A 19,883-nucleotide genomic window follows, 5' to 3' on the forward strand; every position below is an offset into this window, starting at 1 on the left:
ATAATCCTTCCCTTACACCCCTACAAGAAACTTCAGTTCATGAACTTAACACCAGTATGTATATTTTTCCAGAGGGTTGGGAATGATCTTGATAGAGATCAATAGAAAAGGAAATTGTGGACTTATTGGGAATAGAAATAGGAAGTATAGCAGATTTCAAAATAGAAATTGAAGTTTTTGCATTAAGGACTTGTAAGAGATTGCTACAAGCAAAACAGACAAAAATCCCAGCTCTTAAAGTTTTCACATTTATGGTTATAGATTACAAACTGTCTTTGCAATGAGACAGGGTGTGGTTTTGCAAACTGGCAGCTATGCAACAATATAATGGAAAAATAATGCAAAACTTTTGCAGGGTAAAAAGGTGACTACTATAAAGGATGCAATATTTCATGAAATCAATAAAAGTAATATTAAAGAACTGCACATTTCAAAACAAACTCAGTGACAAATGGAAGTTTATCAGTCTAGACCAGCTAATAACTGAAGAAAAGAGAAAAAAAACAGCACTGATGAATAATAGCTAAGTTAAATAGAATGGCTCCACCACCAAAGAATTCAGAAAGATCATGGAAAATTGTTGAAACCTTGACATTCTTTACAAAAATTTACAAATGTTATTTAAAATATCAAACATAAAGTAAGAAATTCTATACCTGTATACTATCAGAAAAAAATATATGCCCAATTCAACCCCTAACATCTTATTAATTTTTTTCCTTAGGATGAATCACAATTATAACCTTATTATTATTAAAAGTAAAATAAACTTATTTTATAACGTACGTTTTATTGAGAAAATCTTAGGAAAGCCTCTCCCATCCCTTACCCCATTATTTACTGTGAACCTCTATTCAGTGGCTTTATCAAGAGCCACTGATCAAGGACCTTTTTTATCTCTATGCGAACAGCCTTCTTAGCCTTCCAATTTTGAGGTCCATTCAAGTCAAGCAATTCACTTTTGTTTTGGTTCAGCAGTTGGAGAATTGCTGTATTTCCGATCATCATATTCATCCCACTGGATTGTAAGGATATCTTTCATGTTTAGTATTCTCTAAGTCAGAGAAATTTTAAAATTTAGATCCCCAAAATGATAGTCTGCTCCACTGATCACATGTATCTATGTATTAGTTTTCTATTGCTGCATAAAAAAATGAACACAAACTTAGCAACTTAAAACACATATTTAGTATCTTACCATTTCCAGGGGTCAGAATCTGGGTGCGGCTGGTCTGGGTCACCTGCTCAGAGTTTCAAGGGGTTTCTCAGGTTTCACCATCATCTGGAGGATTAACTGGAGAAGAATCTGCTCTCAAGTTCCTTCAGGGACTTGGCAGGATTCATTGTCTTCAGGTAGTATGCCTGAAGACTTTCGGCTTTTCACTGGAGTCTGCTGGAGGCTGCCCTCAGGCCCTAGACATCACCGGCAGTTCCTACCCACTCAGGCTTCTCCAACACTGGCCTTTACTTTCCCAGGCCCACAACAGTGAATGTTAGTCCTGTTGCTAAGCTACAGTCTTCCAGAACATAATCAAAGAAGTGGCTTCCATCACCTTTGTCATCATCTATCGGTTAGAAGCAAGTCACAGGTCTTGCCCACACTCAGTGAGAGGGATTACATGAATGTGTGACCACCAGGAGATGGTAACAATTGGGGTCATGAGGGGATATGACTGCTACAATCTCCCATCATCAAAAACAAAAACAGGAATCTGTAAGTTGAAGTTCAAGGTTATGAAAAGCAAACTGGCTTTCTGTTTTTATCATTTCTGGATATACAGAACAATTATATCAAATTTATTAATATGAACTGCATCATACTTAAGTTTTAAACATTAGTAGTATTCTATTTGAAATTTTTTTCCTGTCCTACTTAAATTTTTGAGGACATTTTATATGTTTAGGAATGATCTAAAATTGTGGAATGTCACTTTTTTCTAAATCTTCAAATAATTCTAAACCAAATGGAATACAGATGAACATTTTCTAGAAATCACTGACATTCACTATTTTAATTTCTTAGCCATTGATAATGTTTTTGAAGTTAACATTTACTCTGGTCACAGTGGCTCATGCCTGTAATCCCAGGGCTTTGGGAGGCTTGGTAGCAGAATTGCTTGAAGCTAGGAGTTTGAGAGCAGCCTGGACAACATAGGATTACCCTGTCTCTACAAAAAAATTTAAAAAGCTGGGCATGGTGATGCATGCCTGTAGTCTCTGCTACTCAGGAGTCTGAGGCAGGAAAATCACTTGAGCCTAGGAGTTAAAGACTTAAAGGAAACAGTGAGCTCTGACTGCACTACAGCACTCCAGCCTGGACAACACAGTGAGACCCCCTCTCCCCGCTCTCTAAGCATATATATATATATATATGTGTGTGTGTGTGTGTATATATATATTATTAAATAAGTTTATGGACTTTATAAAATTTATGTTAAAGTGACAAGTATATAGTGTGTGCAGTTACAGGCATGAAGAAGCAGTTAATAAATTATCCTGGAATTAAAACTTGAAGAGCATTCTGAATTACCTATTTATCTTGAATTGTCTTAGATCAAAGCAAGAGCACCAGTGAAGAATCTATTTGGCTGATATGGACCCTGTTCTTGCTGGTTAATGATGAGCATCACTGTTCAGCTAGAACACTTGTATGATCATTACATGGCTGACTCCCTGTGGAAATGGGAAGGGAATAAGGAATACATATTTGGAATGAAGAACAGTTTACAAACACTTGTTTGTTGGTACTAATTTACAGAGAATAGTGCAAGAGTTAGCTTTATTTTTTCTTTATTAATATTATGTATGTATAACTTTATATATGTTATATGTGTATCTTACATATACATTTCTAGAGACCTTAGGAATAGAAATCTGAAGAGCTGAGTTGCAAACCCCTTATTTTCAAGGGTCGAACACTTCAGGTAGTTGGTGAATAATTTATTACAAAGAATCTCTACTTAGAATTGTAACGTGTGTGTATATATATTATATGTAATTATACATATGTAATATATACATACAAAAAGACAGAGACAGAGAGAGACAGAGAATTTACGCACCAACCAACACAAATACATATGGAATAATAGAACATATGTTAATATCCCTAAAATTCAGTATGTATGAGGCCAGAAGAGAGCGTTCATAAAATATAAAGGATAAACATTATGTATACGATGTTTTCTCACTGCAGTGAATTAAAATTAGATACCATTAGCAAAAGAATGGATTATAACAAAATAATGGATTCTACATTGAGATCTTTGTCGTCAACCATTCTCTCATTACTTCTGTCTCAACGAGTGAAGCTCTAGGTACAGAATGTTCTACAAGTTAGCGTTTCCAAAATTTCAGGAAACACACAATCTGTGTCTTACATAAGTTGTTTCAGAACACATAAAAGGACTAAAAACTGCCTAACTCCTTTTATGAGACTACTGTGATATTTTTAAAGTTAAGCATCACGGAAAAAAAAAAGAAAATGGTAAGTAAATTTTATTTCTAAACAAGTTGCAAATTTCTAAAATACAATTGTACATAGTTGAATCCAACATAGTAGCAAAGAAATGAGTTTAATAGGATCAAGCCTGATATATCCCTTAAATGTAGAAATTTCCATAGTTTAAAGAAAACTCTACAAAGTAAATCACCATATTAATGAGTTTAGGAGAAAAATTCCATGATTATTTGAGTAGATATTTAACCACACTATTAAAACATTTTCACTGCAGCAGTCATTGGTGTAAGGCTTTACAAATATTAACTCCTTTAATCTTCATAATAGCCATATGTGGTAGGTAATATTACCCACATTTTAAAGATGAGAAAACTGAAGCACTGGGAGATTATGTAATTAGGTCAATTAAGGTCATTCAGCTAATATGCAGAAAAGCTAAGATTTAGTACATGCAATCTAGCTCCAGCGTCCAGGTTTTCAACCAGTCTTTTATGCTGCCTCTTTTGCAATATATGGAGAAGAATCATTTGATAAAGTTAAACTTTTATTTATTATAGGCATGGTAGAACACTTGGACCAGAAAAAAAACCTTTAACATCATAAAAGCTATGTTTACTAAAAGTATTCATGTTTTAGAGGCATTCCCTTTAATCTCAGGAATAAGAAAAGAATACCCCCTTTCATTTTCCTGTCCAATATTTGTTCATTCAGCAAATATTTGCTGGTCGTCTACTGTTGGAGGCCGAAAGAATGAGGGTCTTGATCAACTCAGTATACCACCGGAGGCTATATGAGCAAACAGGGAACTGTTCTCATGAAAGCAGGATGTTGGCAAACTGACAAACTGCACTGGCCACCCAGAAGGAATGCTAAGGGCAGTCAGACCCAGGCACAAGTGTTTCTTGTGAATAGGCACATCTGAAGCCTGTTAGCAATAATATGAACCATGATCAATCAAGCAGCTGATCAATCGTTAGCTCCTTCTTGCTCTTTCTACCCAAAAAATATGAAGGGCAGGAGAAGCAGCGGTGGCTGCCTTTGCTCACTAGAAGCAGGGAGCCCTCCTCTTCTTCCCCTGGCCTCTTCTTTAAAACAGTTTCTTTTGTCTTAAGTTTTCATTTCTGCGTTCGTCCTCCTTTGTTCAGTTCTGTGATGATGGTCTCAAGTAGTAACAGTAGTAACTGTCATAGTGACAGGCTCAAGTAGTAACCGTGGCAGTCTGCCACAATCTACTATGTGCCAGACACTCTCTTAGGTACTGGGAATGCAGCTGTGAAGAAAATAGACCAAAAAATTCTACCCTCATAGAGCTTACATTCTAGTAGAAGAAATAGGTAATTAGTAAAATAATTATATAAGTTATATTGGTAGGTAATATGTGCTATGAAGAAAAAATAAAACAAAAATAGGAATAGTGGGTACTGGGAAAAGTTACAATTTTAAATAAATTGGTCAGAAAGTAATCCTTGAATGAATACTTGAAAGGGGTAACGTGATACTGAAGGTTCTAGCCAATGCAGATAGGAGTGAAGAGATAAAACATCATTGTTAGAAGATGCTCTGATCATTTAATAGAAAATTCAAGAAGATCTACCCAAAAAATTATTCATGGCATTACAAATTCCTCAGGTTTCCAAGAAATAAATCAACATAAAAATCCATTCCATCATTTACATTAAAAACAGTAAATTAAATATAATAGTATACTAATACCATTTAATTAAATACCTTAGATTTAGCTTAACAGATAAAATGCATTTTTATGCATTTTAGCTTTTGCTTCATAAATATGTTTTTAAAACTCAATTTAAAAACTTTAAAGAAAACCAAAACAAGTGGAAAGAAACATCATTATATGTCAGTTCCCTCCAACTCAATTCAATATTTCTGATAAAAACTCTAGCTAGATTTTACTGGAAAAATTGAAAAACTGAATCTAAAAAAATACAGTGAGGAACAATTGTCAACACTTAGCTAAGATGACTTTGAAAAAGAAGCCCCAATCTATTGTATTAAGACATATTACAAAAGTATATTAATTAAAAGGGCATGGTAATAGCATAGAAACAGATGAATAGACAAATCAGAAATAAAAACATGTTCACTATACCCTTTTATATATAAAGATTTGAAATATGGTCGACCTGGCATCAAGAAATCAGTGGTACAAGAGACTGAGATAGGAGGATAACTTGAGCACAGATGTTAGAGACCAGCCTGGGCAATATAGTGAGAACTCACTTAAAAAAAATCAATGGTAAAGAATATATTTATTAAATACTGTTAAAAAATTGGCTCATTATGTGGAAAAAAAGACTTTGATTCCTACCTCACATCATATTAAAAAAATAAACTCCAGATAGTCTATAGATCTAAATGTTAAAAGCAAATATATAACACTATGAGAGAAAATATAGGAACAGATCCTTGTGATGCAGTGTGTGGGAAATGGTACATATTTATGAAATACTCCTAACAAATATTTTATTACATCAAAATTATGAATTTGTTTTAAATAAGAGAAACTGCCAGGAACAGTGAGGAGTCTGAGATTTTATTCTACTTGCACACTGACAAGTTAAAGTACCATAGTTTTATGGATGCTATGAGAAGATACGAGACTCTTGGGTCAGAGACAAAGAATTCTATTACTCATGGCCCAGCAGGCAGCATGAGCTTCATGTTCAGCTGGTTTCTCATAGCCCCCAAGGTCCACTGGAGCAATGAAGATGGTCCTAGATAGATGCTCCACTAACAGTGGGTTGACATAACAGCAAGAAAACCTCAAGTTCAGGAAACCCCAATATTTTTAAAAAGGCTTCAAATAAACTTGCCCAACTTTTGTCACAGAAGGAGATATTATCTTTATTAGACTGGACATTAAATATGCCCTCTAATCCAGATGAAGGCAGTGTCTCTGTCATCCAAGGCTGTTTACTATACACACATCCTTGAAAAGATGGTACAGCACAAAAACTGTCAATGTCTTTGCTTGCAAAAAGTGCAGAAATATGACAGACCCCTGGTGAATTGTCTGCTAAGAGAACAAATAGTCAAAGTAAACACAAAGGTTATAGGCTTAGATATTTTGCTTTAGATTTTTCTGACTTTCAAGAAAAAGATAGGAAATCAATTAAAAATGGATAGTAGTTATAATCAACTCACATAAGATTCAACTAAAAATGTGAATACATGTTTAAAAAATTGTTCAACATAAGTGGTAATCTGATAAATGGAAATTAAAACTAATATAAAACATCAATATATACCCATCAAATTGACCAAGGTATAAATCAGTTAATATCACATGTTAGCAGGAATACATAGACAGTAACCTTCATATCCTACCAGTAAGAGTGTATCTGAGACCACCATTTTGAGAGCAAATTTGGCATATTGGTGAAAACATTATGCATATGCCTTATACCCAATAATTTCATTTCTGGGAGTAAACCCCAGAACGACTTTGCTCAGAGATGTGTGAAGACGTTCAATTCGGCAGTAGCTGGAGGCTATCTTCATAGAAGATAGCCATAGAAAGTGGAAATGGCTGTGCAAATTATGGTTTATCTATAAGATGGCTGTCATTCATTAGAAGAAATAAACAATACCTAGAAATACTAAAATATAAATATGTCAGAGTCTAATATTCAGTAAAAATGTAAAACTAACTGATATTTATGTAGATGTTTAAAAAACACACAAAATAACCCAATAATATACAAAATCACATTCACTTCCCTATAACCATTCTCTATTTCCTTTCCCTTCCTTTGCTTTCTCTTTCTTTCTCCTTTCCTTTCCTCTTTCCCCTTTTTCTTTTCCTTTCTTCTTTCCCCTTTCCTTTTTTTCCACAGGGTCTTGCTCTGTCATCTAGGTTGGAGTACAGTGGTGCAATTTCAGCTCACTGCAACCTCGAGCTTCTGAGCTCAAGTCATCCTGCCATTTCAGCCTCCCAAGGAGCTGGGACTACAAGTGCAAGCCATCATGTCCAGCTACATTTTTTGTACTTTTGTAGAGACAGGGTCTCATTATGTTGCCCAGGGTGGTTTTGAACTCCTGGGCTCAAAGGATTTGCCTGCCTTCAGCCTCCCATAGTGCTGAGATCACAGATATGAGCCATCAAGCCAGGCATCCTTTTTCTTTATAGCCCTGATCACCCCCTGAAGTTACATTACGTTTATTTATTAACTTGTTTATCATTCGTCTCCGCCAGTTGGTGGAAGCCAATAGGGCACTCTTGACTGTCTTGGCAGTCTTTTCCCTGGTGGATCCCAGCTCCTACAATAGTGTCTGACCCATAATATGAGCTCATAAATTATTTTTATTGAATTATTTATTTTTATTGATATTCATCTGTAAATAAATGAATAGAAACAAAAAGTCCTATGTAATTTGTGTGTCTTCAGGCCTCCATGGCCTCTGACATTAAGTAACATCACGTAACATCATTAACCACTTTTTTTTTTTTTTTTTTTGAGACAGGGTCTCACTCTGTCACCCAGGCTGGAGTGCATTGGTGCAAGCTCGGCTCACTGCAACCTCCTCCTCCCGGGTTCAAGAGAGTCTCCTTTCTCATCTCCTGAGAAGTGGGGATCACAGGAACGCACCATCACACCTGGCTAATTTTTGTGTTTTTACTAGTATTGGCCAGGCTGGTCTTGAACTCCTGACCTCAGGTGATCCACCTGCCTTGGCCTCCCAAAGTGCTGGGATTACAGGCCTGAGCAATCGCACCCAGCCATTAACCACAGTTTTTGTAAGTGCTTTCAGCTGGTTTTGCAGGACTCCTGGCTCCCTGAAAAATCCACTTAAGTACTTCTGAGAGTCCTTATAAGGGGGCGTTTCCCTTTGTGAAGAATCCCTACACCGAATCTATCTTCTTCTTTTCCTGATAGGGCTGCTCCTCCTTGCTGTCTTTTGCTCATGAAGCTGCCTAAAGGGTGACTCAGCACTATGCAACTTCCAGGTACCAACTATGAGATGCCAAAGTCCATCCAAAGGATGGACCCAAGGCTACTGGATCTTAAGGTTTCAGACAAGTGTGTGAGACTTTGTACATGAAGTTGGAGAATGCCTCACTCTCTACCCTGTACAGGGTTGTGATCCAGAGCTGGATTTCAGACCCCTGTTTCTACAGGAACTCTAAACAAGCCCAGGTAAAAGACACACCACATCCATTTCTCCAATTAAACAAACAGCAAACAAAGATACAACTTTATCCTCTTTTCTTTTCTTTTTCCCCTCCCTCCCTCCCTTCCTTCCTTTTCTCTCTCTCTCTCTTCCTGTTTTTTTTAGAAAGGGTCTCACTCTGTCACCGAGGCTAGAGTGCAGTGGCGCAATCTCAGCTAACTGCAACCTCCACCTCCTGGGTTCAAGCAATTCTCCTGCCTCAGCCTCCCGAGTAGCTGAAATTACAGGCGCCCATCACCATGCCCAGCTAATTTTTTGTATTTTTAGTAGAGACGGGGTTTCATCGTGGTAGCCAGGATGGTCTCAATCTCCTGACCTCGTGATCCACCCGCCTCAGCCTCCAAAAGCCCTGGGATTACAGGTGTGAGCAACCGCACCCGGACTATCCTTTTTCTTTAATCAAACAGCAAAATGTCTTCCTATCAGTTTTTGTAAAAATTTCTAGAAATGTCATTGGCCAACTAGCTTCACTAACACTCAAGCTCTGAATTGCAGCTAGGTTAGCTCTTCTTGATATATTTACATCCAAAAGGAGGAAAGAGCTTCAAAGAGGGTGTGGCCAACCCCGTACAAATAAGGAGAATAGGTCTGAGAAGAGGCCATTGAATTTGGCACCTAGTAACTTGTTTGTAGTAGTAAAGGAGTTTCTGTAGTCACCTGGAGTCTGACTTAAAAGCACTCAAAGGATTTTGGATGTTCTGTAGGTCGACTGGGCTCCACTAAACATTTGGCAACAGACAAGCATTTCTCTCCAAGACATTGAGAAATACAGAGCAATTCTCTTTATTTTCTTTAGAGATGGAGACATGCTCCTGTAGCCAAAGCAAAATTTGGAGCCATTTTGCTTCCTGGTCCCTGGGCGTAGGTTTGCTCTTTTGTTTAATAAGAGAGTCAACAGTGCTTTTTACAATCAGTGGTTTCTCCAGCATCCTGACTAATATTATCTCCCTTCACAAAATAGGCTTTGGCAGCCCAGGCTGTGGTAAACAATTCCTGAGAGTGCAGTCACTGTGGTCACTCTGGCCCCCTCCGCTCTCGCCATCTTCTAAACCCAAGCTGTAAACATTCTGGAACAAGGGCTCCATAAACTCAAGCTATTTTGTTCCTTCAGAGAACAAGTCACAATAAAAAGAGGTTTATAAAGGCGTCGTTTTTTTGCCAAGAGAGTTGAATGAATTCTTTTATCTCCTCATGATTCATTCCTAATTGCAAGATTTTTATTTTTAGAAAGCATTTTGGAGGTTTTTGTTATGTAGTGGTAAAAACACAAAATGATGCACTCAGCATTCCAGATCACAGGCTGGAGAGGAGGAGGAGTTCTGTGGATGTGGCTCTCGCCATGCAAGGAGCCTGTGGTCTTGGTCAGCCTGGGCTGCTGTAACAAAACGTTGTCGACTGCGGCTCTGAACCACAGGCATGACCTTCTCACAGTTCTGGGAGTTGGGATGCTGAGGTCAGGCTGCCAGGCTGTTGGGCGCTTGGTGAGGGCCCTCTTCCTGGTTATGTCCTTACCTGGTCTTTTTGAGTGGCGCATGGAGAAAGAAAGAGATCCTGGGTCTCCTCTGCTTTTTATAAGGGCACACACTGATCCCATCACGAGCACCCCAGATCCTGGGTCTCCTCCACTTTTTATAAGGGCGCACACTGATCCCATCATGAGCACCCCAGATTCTGGGTCTCCTCCACTTTTTATAAGGGCACACACTGATCCCATCACGAAGACCTCACCTTCATAACTTCATCTAACCCAAATCCCCTCCCAAATGCCCCACTTCCAAATACCATCACATTGAGAGTTAGCATGTCAATATATGACTTTTGGGAGGACACACTCATTTAGTTCATAGCACCTGTAATCAGTGAATACAAGAATCGTTGATCTCTGTAGCGGAAGAGGATTTTCTCGTTGCCTGACTGCTCTTGAAAACAGTCCTCCTGGAGAGAAGAGTGGAGTGCAGGAGGTGATGACATTTTCATTCCATATGTGAAACAATAAATGCCTGATAGTGAGAGTTTTCAGAAGGATGAACAGGCTGTTTGTAAGAATACTGAGTTCTATGTGACTGGTGGTATCTAAGCAGGGGTTGGGTAATTGTGGAAAAACTTTAAGAGCATTCAGAAGGGCCCAGAGAAGTGGCTCGTGTCTGTAATCCCAGCACTTTGGGAGGCCAAAGTGGGAGGATCGCTTGAGGCCAGGAGTTTGAGACCAGCCTGGTCAACTTAATGAGACCCTATCTCTACAAAAAATTACAAAATTGGGTGGGCGTGATGGTGTGCACCTATAGTCCCAGCTACTCAGGAGTCTGAGGTGAGAGAATCTCTTGAGCCCAAGAGTTCAAGGCTGCAATGAGCTGTGATCGTGCTACTGCCCTCCAGCATGGGAAACAGAACAAGACTCTGTCTAAAAAAAATGTGTATGTAGATATATGGCAGTCCGAGCACCCAGGTCCCCAGTTCTCCTTTCAGTGCTGAAGCTATGTGTTTGAAAATTTACTTGGGGGCCACAGCTGCATACACCCTCATCACTTCTGCACAATTCTCAGTCCTCAGGAGGCAATAGTTTAGACTTAAACTTCAACGTAAGCAGACTACATTGGAGAAGGACAAAGGGAAGCTTTCCTTGGTTCCATAGGACATTGTCAAGGAGTCAGGGGCAGGACTGGAATGAACAGTATGAGAAATGAAGTATGCACAATCGTGCGTGAACATTATGGGAAACATGACAAAGATGCGATGATTTTGCAGTCCCCAAGTTCCCTGCGTGTAAAATCAAGTGTCACAAGCAAAGCAGAATACTTGTCAGTTCTTTTCAGTGATAATGTTGACACCATTCCTCCTGGTTTGAGTTCCTTTCTTCCCATGCTCTCTCTACCCACAGAAATTCAGCCAGTTTTCCTGTCCCAAATCAAATAGGACTTTCCCCATAAAATAATTCCCTGATTCATAAAATACAATGACTATAATAATTATCTGATTCCTGCTATCCACATGTCTTTTGATCTATTCTGTTTAGCACTCTTATATCTCTTAGGTTATTCTTTACTCTAAAAATACCTTTTCTTACATACTAGAGTCTAATTTTTTGAGGACAGACATTGTGTCTTTTTTAGACTTTTATATCCCTAAGATGTCAAATACCCTACCTTATGGCTAGTACATCTCAGTAGATAGATATTAGGTGGCCGGGTGAATGAGCAGAACATTCTAAATGGGGAGAAACGGCAAAGCTACCTTGCTGCTGCAGGATTCTGCTCCCTTTTTCCTTAGATCTAACTATGTGGTCTTTTATTTCAGACACTCGGCTGGGAAGTGAGAGACTCAAAACAACGTGAGAAGTAGAAAGCGGGCAAGTTTGTTGGGGCCATATGTAACTTCATGAATATCACTGTTTCAAGGACTAAGTTATAAGTTTTACCCTTTTCAGATAAGGAAAACAGAGTGTGAGTGGGGTTAGAAAGAGGAAAAACAGCAAGCCAAGTTGAATCACTCATCCTGAGAGGCATTCAAATACAGAGTTATGGAGAAAGCGACTTTCCTCCACAAGGGTAAACCCCTCAACAGCAGCTGGTAAACCTCAGTCCACAGCGCAGAGTGTGAGAAAGGGAAGATTTCAAACAACTTAAATACAAAGAAAACACTTTTTTAAAACATTAGTGATTCTTTTCCACATTTCCCTTTAGGCTCTATTCATACGGAAAATATTCCGCTACACCTCACAGCAATATATCTTATTTTTTTTAATATGCAGCAACCGTCAGCCAACTCATAGCTGAAGCAGGGACACTGTGCAGCTCTTGGAGCTTGTTCTTAGTATGTGTTCAGAGGGCTAATACTCTGTCAAGCAGGGCGGATGATAGCCAGAGCAAACAGCCACGGTCCCCACGGTGGAAAATAACGTTGCCAGGCAAGCCAAAATATGATTTTTTCTATGAATTTTCTTTCCAGGGAGTACCTCTGAAAAACACCTCTCTAGCATAACAGTCACTGAATTAAGTTATATATTTTTAGACACCACTAACTGTTCTTTGTTTTTTCTTCCATTTCTAGAAAATTCCGCACATCTGGAAAGAACAGCAATGAACAGGAACTTGTGCATTCGTGCTAGGCTCCTACTGGGCCCGCTTCGTTTCATTTCCTCCATTTTTATGACACTTTCCCATGCTGCTACTCCAGACATTCCATCAAACACCTCGCCACGAACAAATTGAAAGGGAAGGAAATCTAAAGAAAGTCTGACTGAATTTCTGAGTGTCTCATCACTAGAATGACCAGGAAAACCTGCCAGGAGTGTAGATTCAGGCCCCTAATCCCACTTCTCTGCAGTCTCCTCTTGGTCTCTGTGTATAAGCTCTCCTGCCTTTTTGCACCTCTAATCCATTGTCAGACAAACTGGCCTACTTGTGTTTGCCTCTGAGAGCCTGTCCACTTCCTCACGTTAGGAGAAAGAACACAAAGAATCCTAGCTTTGATTCAGTTTTCCATACTTCAGCCATCAGTCTACCATCAAGCACATTTTTTACTGGGCAAATGAAAAGTCATTGCTTTCAATTTTTTTTTTTTTTTTTTAGACTGAATCTCACCTGTCACCCAGGCTGGAGTGCAGTGGCACAATCTCGGCTCACTGCAACCTCTGCCTCCCAGGTTCTAGCAATTCTCCTGCCTCAGCCTCCCAAGTGGCTGGGATTGCAGGTGCCCACCACCATGTCCAGCTAATTTTTTTGTATTTTGAGTAGAGACGGGGTTTCACCATGTTGACTAGGCTGGTTTTAAACTCCTGACCTCAAATGATCCACCCACCTCAGCCTCCCAAAGTACTAGGATAATAGGTGTGAGCCACAGCACCCCGCCAATATTTTTGTTTCTAATAAAACAAGAACTAGTAGTGCACTCCGTCTAGAGCAAGATAGTGTGGTGGGGACAGGGAGCAAGTAGGTAGGGGATAAATAGGTCAAGAACTGAATTCACAATTGAGGCTTTAAGCTTGATAAGAAATAAAGCAAGTTTGAATCATCTGGGTCCCTGGGGAAGCATTTGTTTAGAAAAAGATCAATAGTAAATAAAAATACCACGCACCTAGTTTCCAGGTATTGATTTATCTAAAAGGGACCTGGCTTTCACATATTTACGATATGCAAGTGCATTTCAAAGCTTTGCCTGACAGCTGGATGCAAGCTGGGTGAGGCTGTAGGGGTGACAGTGTCATCACATGTGAGAGAGGCTGTGGGGGTGCAGGTGTCATCACATGTGAGAGAGGCTGTGGGGGTGACAGTGTCATCACATGTGAGAGAGGCTGTGGGGGTGACAGTGTCATCATATGTGAGAGGCTGTGGGGGTGACAGTGTCATCACATGTGAGAGAGGCTGTGGGGGTGACAGTGTCATCACATGTGAGAGAGGCTGTGGGGGTGACAGTGTCATCACATGTGAGAGAGGCTGTGGGGGTGACAGTGTCATCACATGTGAGAGAGGCTGTGGGGGTGACAGTGTCATCACATGTGTGAGAGGCTGTGGGGGTTCAGGTGTCATCACATGTGAGAGAGGCTGTGGGGGTGACAGTGTCATCACATGTGAGAGAGGCTGTGGGGGTGACAGTGTCATCACATGTGAGAGAGGCTGTGGGGGTTCAGGTGCCACCACATGGGAGACAGGCTGTGGGGGTGACAGTGTCATCACATGTGAGAGAGGCTGTGGGGGTGACAGTGTCATCACATGTGAGAGAGGCTGTGGGGGTGACAGTGTCATCACATGTGTGAGAGGCTGTGGGGGTTCAGGTGTCATCACATGTGAGAGAGGCTGTGGGGGTGACAGTGTCATCACATGTGAGAGAGGCTGTGGGGGTTCAGGTGCCACCACATGGGAGACAGGCTGTGGGGGTGCTGGGTACCACCACATGTGAGAATACAGAAAACACAAAGCCGTCAGCTACGGAGAATTAAAATCAAATTCGCATAGCTCTGTACTCTTTCAGGGGATGATTCTTGGCCTATTTTAAATATTCTGAATTAACTTTTTCATTTCCTACATTTTTTCCCTGACACAAGCACATTCCCTTAGAAAGAGAAGAATCATACCGTATCTCTATGGAGATAAATATATTCCTTGGTTTAAAACAAAATCCTTTCTTTCTTCCTTATTTCCTTCATTTCCTTTCTCTCCCCCTTCCTCCTTCTCCTCCTCTCCATCTCTTTCTTTCTTTCTTTTTTTTTTTTTTTTCTGAGATGGAGTCTTGCTCTGTCGCCCAGGCTAGAGTGCAGTGGCACCATATTGGCTCACTGCAACCTCCGCCTCCCAAGTTTGAGCGATTCTCCTGCCTCAGCCTCAGAGTAGCTGGGATTACAGGCACCTGCCACCGTGCCCGGCTAATTTTTGTATTTTTAGTAGACATAGGGTTTCACCATTTTGGCCAGGCTGGTCTCGAACTCCTGACCTTGTGATCCACCCACCTCGGCCTCCTACAGCGCTGAGATTGCAGGCGTGAGCCACCGCGCCCGGCCTCCATCCCTTTCTTATTATTATTTTAGCTGAGCAGCCCTCAGGCGAGGGTGTCATCTGCGCAGCGGGAGGCAGAGTCTGAGTTAGGTGCATGGTGGAGTCACACTGCCAGCCGCTGTGGACCGTGGGAACGATGCCTGGCAGGGTAAGGGTGGCAGGGGTGCAGCGTGGGCTGTTGGTGATTGGGAGAGGAAAGACGGCATCCACAAAGGGTGTGACGGGGTGATGCCCACGGAGGGTGCTGAGGGAGATGATGGCTTTGACAGGCGTTGAGTACCTTTATTGGTACTCTGGTGCCGAGAATCACCAATATGGAAAAGGAGAAAACTGGGATGAACCCGTTAATGTTGGACTGGAAATGGAAATATCGTGTGGATTTCAATAGAGAGATAAACAGATACTATAATTACATGCAATATAATTCATCTGTTTCCTAGTTCTGTCCTCTGAGAGTCAGAGAGAAGTGACACCTCAAGAGCAGTCGGCACATCTTTTCCGTGGTCTGTAAATGCCATTCTCCACTGAGAGGACTCATGGCTCCTTGGAGAGCTCGCTGAATCCTGAGCTGGGGAACGGAAGGTACAGATGGGCCAGAAACACCTTTTTGTATGGGAAGATAAGAAAATGGTCCCGAAATTATAAAACTATGTTGAGAAGACATTGTCAAATCTGGGATCATTTGATTGTCAAATAAGTAATGACAGTGACAGATTATAACCAGTTGAATAAGATGGGAATCCATGAGTCTATGCAGATATGAATGAATGAATGAGAGAGGTAAAATATTTTCCTTTTATCTCTGATTTAAGCAATTCAGCAAAAACATCAAGGCATGTAAAACATGTGGGTGAAAGTTAGATGAGGTACAAACTACTTGGATAGTCTCAAGGTACCTCTGCACAAAATACTTCCAATTCCAAAGGTAGAAGAGAATAGATTTACTATGAGGGAACCTGGAAGATATGACCTTAATCCAGTGCTCATGTTTAATATCACCAGTAATGGGACAAAGTGCATTTGTTTGCAACCTGAGGGGACACAATGAGGAAAACATGGAATCACTGCTCTGATATTTCTGCTCAAAATGCTCAACTTGCATCTGGACATGAAGAAAAATCACATAAACCTAAATAGGAGGACACAGTACAAAATACCTAGCCTCTAATTTTCAAAAGTTTCAAGTTTACACACCAGTCAGGTAAAGAGGGAGAAGGCATGAATCCAGCCTGAGGGTAACTAAACAGACATGACAACTGTATTAGTCCGATTGTACATGGCTATAAAAAACTCCCTGAGACTGGGTGATTTATAAAGAAAAGAGGTTGAATTGACTCACAGTTCTGCATGGCTGGGGAGGCCTCAAGAGACTTACAATCATGGCGGAGGGGGAAGGGGAAGCAGATGCCTTCATCACATGACAGCAGGAAAGAGAGAGTGAGGGAGGATCTGCCACACTTTTAAAGCTTCAGATCTCATGAGAACTCCCTCCTATCACGAGAACAGCATGAGGGAAACTGCCCCATGATCCAAACATCTCCCGCCAGGTCCTGACACAAAGGGATTACAATTTGAGATGAGATTTGGATGGGGACACAGCCAAACCATATCAACAACTGAATATTAATATAACTGGATTCTTTCTATTGGAAAAATGGTGAAGCTTGAATCAACTATATGGATTAGATGGTAGTAATATACCCATTTGACTTCCTGATTTTGGTGGTTATATTATGGTTATGTAGAACGATGTCCTCATTTATTAGAAATTTATACTAACATATTTGGGAGGTGATGGGGCATAAGGTTGCAACTTAATTTAAAATGATTTTAAAAAGAAAGAACTTCTTGTACTATTATTTTAAATTTTGTAAGTTTAAAATTATTTTAAAATAAAAATGTGAATACATACACAAAGAAGTGCAAACAAAATCGGAAATTTGAACAAGATCTGTGGGTTGTATGAATTTCACATCCTAGCTATAATAGTGTACTATTGTTTTGCAAAATGTTACTATTGAGGAAAATTGGTTAAAGGTATAACAAAACTTGTGTATCATTTCATGCAATTGCATGTGAATCTATAATTAGTTCAAAAAGATTTTAATTATAGAAAATAGTTTTAAAATGTTCGATTTGAGGGAACTAGCATTGAACGAGCAAAGCTTTTCAGTGAATCATCATAACAGTTCTATGACATTTCACATTATTTTATTCAATACACAGACTAAGAACATAAAGGGAGAGAATTTAAGAAATATGCTTAAGACTTGATTGTTATTAACTAGAATGAATGAAATTAGATTAAAAATGTCTGGGTCTACAGATAGAATAAAATATTCCAAATATACTCAATTACCATTACTGATGAAACTAATAAATGCATAATTTTTGTCAAATAAAGTAGATCTAAATTTTTTTAAAAAAAATAGGTACTTAGTTCTCTGTGCAGGTTATGAGGGTAAATAATTTTTATTACTAAGATTCCACAGAACCTAAATTTCAATATGAACCTGAAAATAATATTTTCGTAATTCACCTACAAACAGACCCAACCTCTAAAAGTTCATAAGGAATGACTTTGGTATTTTCTTGGCAGAAATTGCAATTTTATAAATCAAACAGTTAGCAGTTGACATGAAAATACTTAAGAAAAATATAGAAACAGAAATAAGACGTGAGAATAGATGTACTGATTACCTAAGTAGGAGATTCTGTCCTCTAAAATTAGCTCACTTTTAGTGTTGGACACATGTGATAGGCTGAGGGAAAATAGATTCTTCTTTAAGAACATGGAACATCATTAGGCAAATTAAGTTATTGCTGGTTATCTGCTCTCTGAAAAAAAAAAAGGCCCCTATTCTAACACTGGAACTCCAGATGCAGCTCATGGAATCAGCATGTGTTGAACTAAACGTAGAGCACATGACAGGTGAGAGCTGCTGGGAGACGTAGGGAATGGCCACGCGTGGGAGCAAACAATGAGACCAATTCCTCTTTGGCAATAATAAACAGTCTTGTTTGTCTGAGACGCAGTCTCACTCTGTCACCCAGGCTGGAGTGCAGTGGCGCGACCTCGGCTCACTGCAACCTCCGCCTCCCAGGTTCAAGCGATTCTTGAGCCTCAGCCTCCCAAGTAGCTGGGACTACAGGCGCGCACCAGGATGCCCAGCTAAGATTTTTGTATTTTTAGTAAAGGCAGGATTTCACCATGTTGGCCAGGCTGGTCTGGAACTCCTGATCTCAAGTGATCCGCCCACCTCGGCCTCCCAAAGTGCTGGGTTTACAGGCATGAGCCACCGCGCCCGGCCAATAAACAGAGTCTTAAAAATGTAAATTCAAAATCATAGGGAACATATTTCCGACTTATCTCTGGCCGCAGTAAAGAAAACAACGGAGATGGAAAAGCTCAAGAATGCAGTCAGCTTTCTCCATCCACCCTGACATACAGTGTGAAATATGACTGACTGAAGCTCCGCTTTCAAGATAAAGGATGATCGTCACAACGGCTAGTATTTGTGGGCTTCCCGTAGTTGTCTAGAGTTACCAAGTGGCAAGTGGCTGCCGCGAGATGAACGCGGAGTAGCTTGGCCGTAAAGACCATGTTCTCGGTAATTAATTAGTCCTTTGTGAGCAGTTCAGTACAACTTTGAAATGTATTTACAAACTTCAGAAGTTATAACAGATTTTTGGAAAGGACACTATTATTTAAACTGTAAACGGATCTTGCTGGAAATCTATAAAGACAGTTTGGATGTATTTACACTGACATTTAAAAAATATCTTTTTTTTTTTTAACCAAAGGAAATTCTTTATTGTAAATAAGATATAAAGTACAACAAAAGAACTATTGTGCAAATTGTAAGTCATAAGGATTTTTTTAATTAAAACTTTTGTTTTCTAAGGATCCAAGTTTTGATGTCAGAAATCTACACCCAATATACAAAAACAATGTTAAATGGGAAGATATAGTGACATTTTTCATTACATATTTTAAGCAATTTACTTTTGTTTTGCCACTGTGTATATCATCCACTATATAACAGAATAAAAGAGAAATACTGTTAACAAAAGCAAATGTTCTAATAATAATTTTTCTACCCAACTACCTCCACATTCCCAAAAAACTCCTACAAATTAACAGGACAACATTTGTAATTTAATTGCTTTGAAGCATAGCTACGATTTGTTTTTGCATTTTTGTTTTGAAAGTTTAACAAATGACTGTATCTAGGCATTTCATTAGCTTAGAACTTTAGTTTGCCTGCAGTTTCTTGTGCAGATTTGAAAACTGTATACCAGTGTGTTTTCTGTAGACTCTAAGATACACTGCACTTTGTTTAGAAAAAAAATCTGAAGATGAAATATATATTGTAAAGAAGGGATATTAAGAATCTTAGATAACTTCTTGAAAAAGATGGCTTATGTCATCAGTAAAGTACTTTTATGTTATGAGGATATAATGTGTGCTTTATTGAATTACAAAATTAGTGACCATTAAAAAATATCTTTGTGTACTTTGCTGGCTACATCTCAAGGACTTTTTTAAATCTTTTGGGAATTATAGTTCAAATTTCCATATTTTTCTACCAAGTGTAAGGATATAGCTGGGCTATTCTCATATTAACATCCAGACCTCCTAAAAGCATGATTAACTGAGAGATTTAAACCAATGTCCTTTTTCTGCTCTTTTAAGACACAAAAAAACTTGAAAGAACTATATTTAGTGTCTACTAGAATCA

General features: G+C 39.3%; 1 long non-coding RNA gene across 1 annotated transcript; it reads left to right on the forward strand.

The window, feature by feature from the left end:
• The first annotated feature begins 1,557 nt into the window (after positions 1 to 1,557).
• Positions 1,558 to 12,447, forward strand: LINC02374 (long intergenic non-protein coding RNA 2374). Its single transcript, NR_147159.1, has 3 exons — positions 1,558 to 1,714; positions 8,359 to 8,619; positions 12,402 to 12,447. It is a non-coding gene; the product is annotated as a long intergenic non-protein coding RNA 2374 (long non-coding RNA).
• Positions 12,448 to 19,883: the final 7,436 nt, after the last annotated feature.

This window comes from Homo sapiens, chromosome 4 (assembly GCF_000001405.40).
Source record: "Homo sapiens chromosome 4, GRCh38.p14 Primary Assembly".
Classification (NCBI taxonomy): domain Eukaryota; kingdom Metazoa; phylum Chordata; class Mammalia; order Primates; family Hominidae; genus Homo; species Homo sapiens.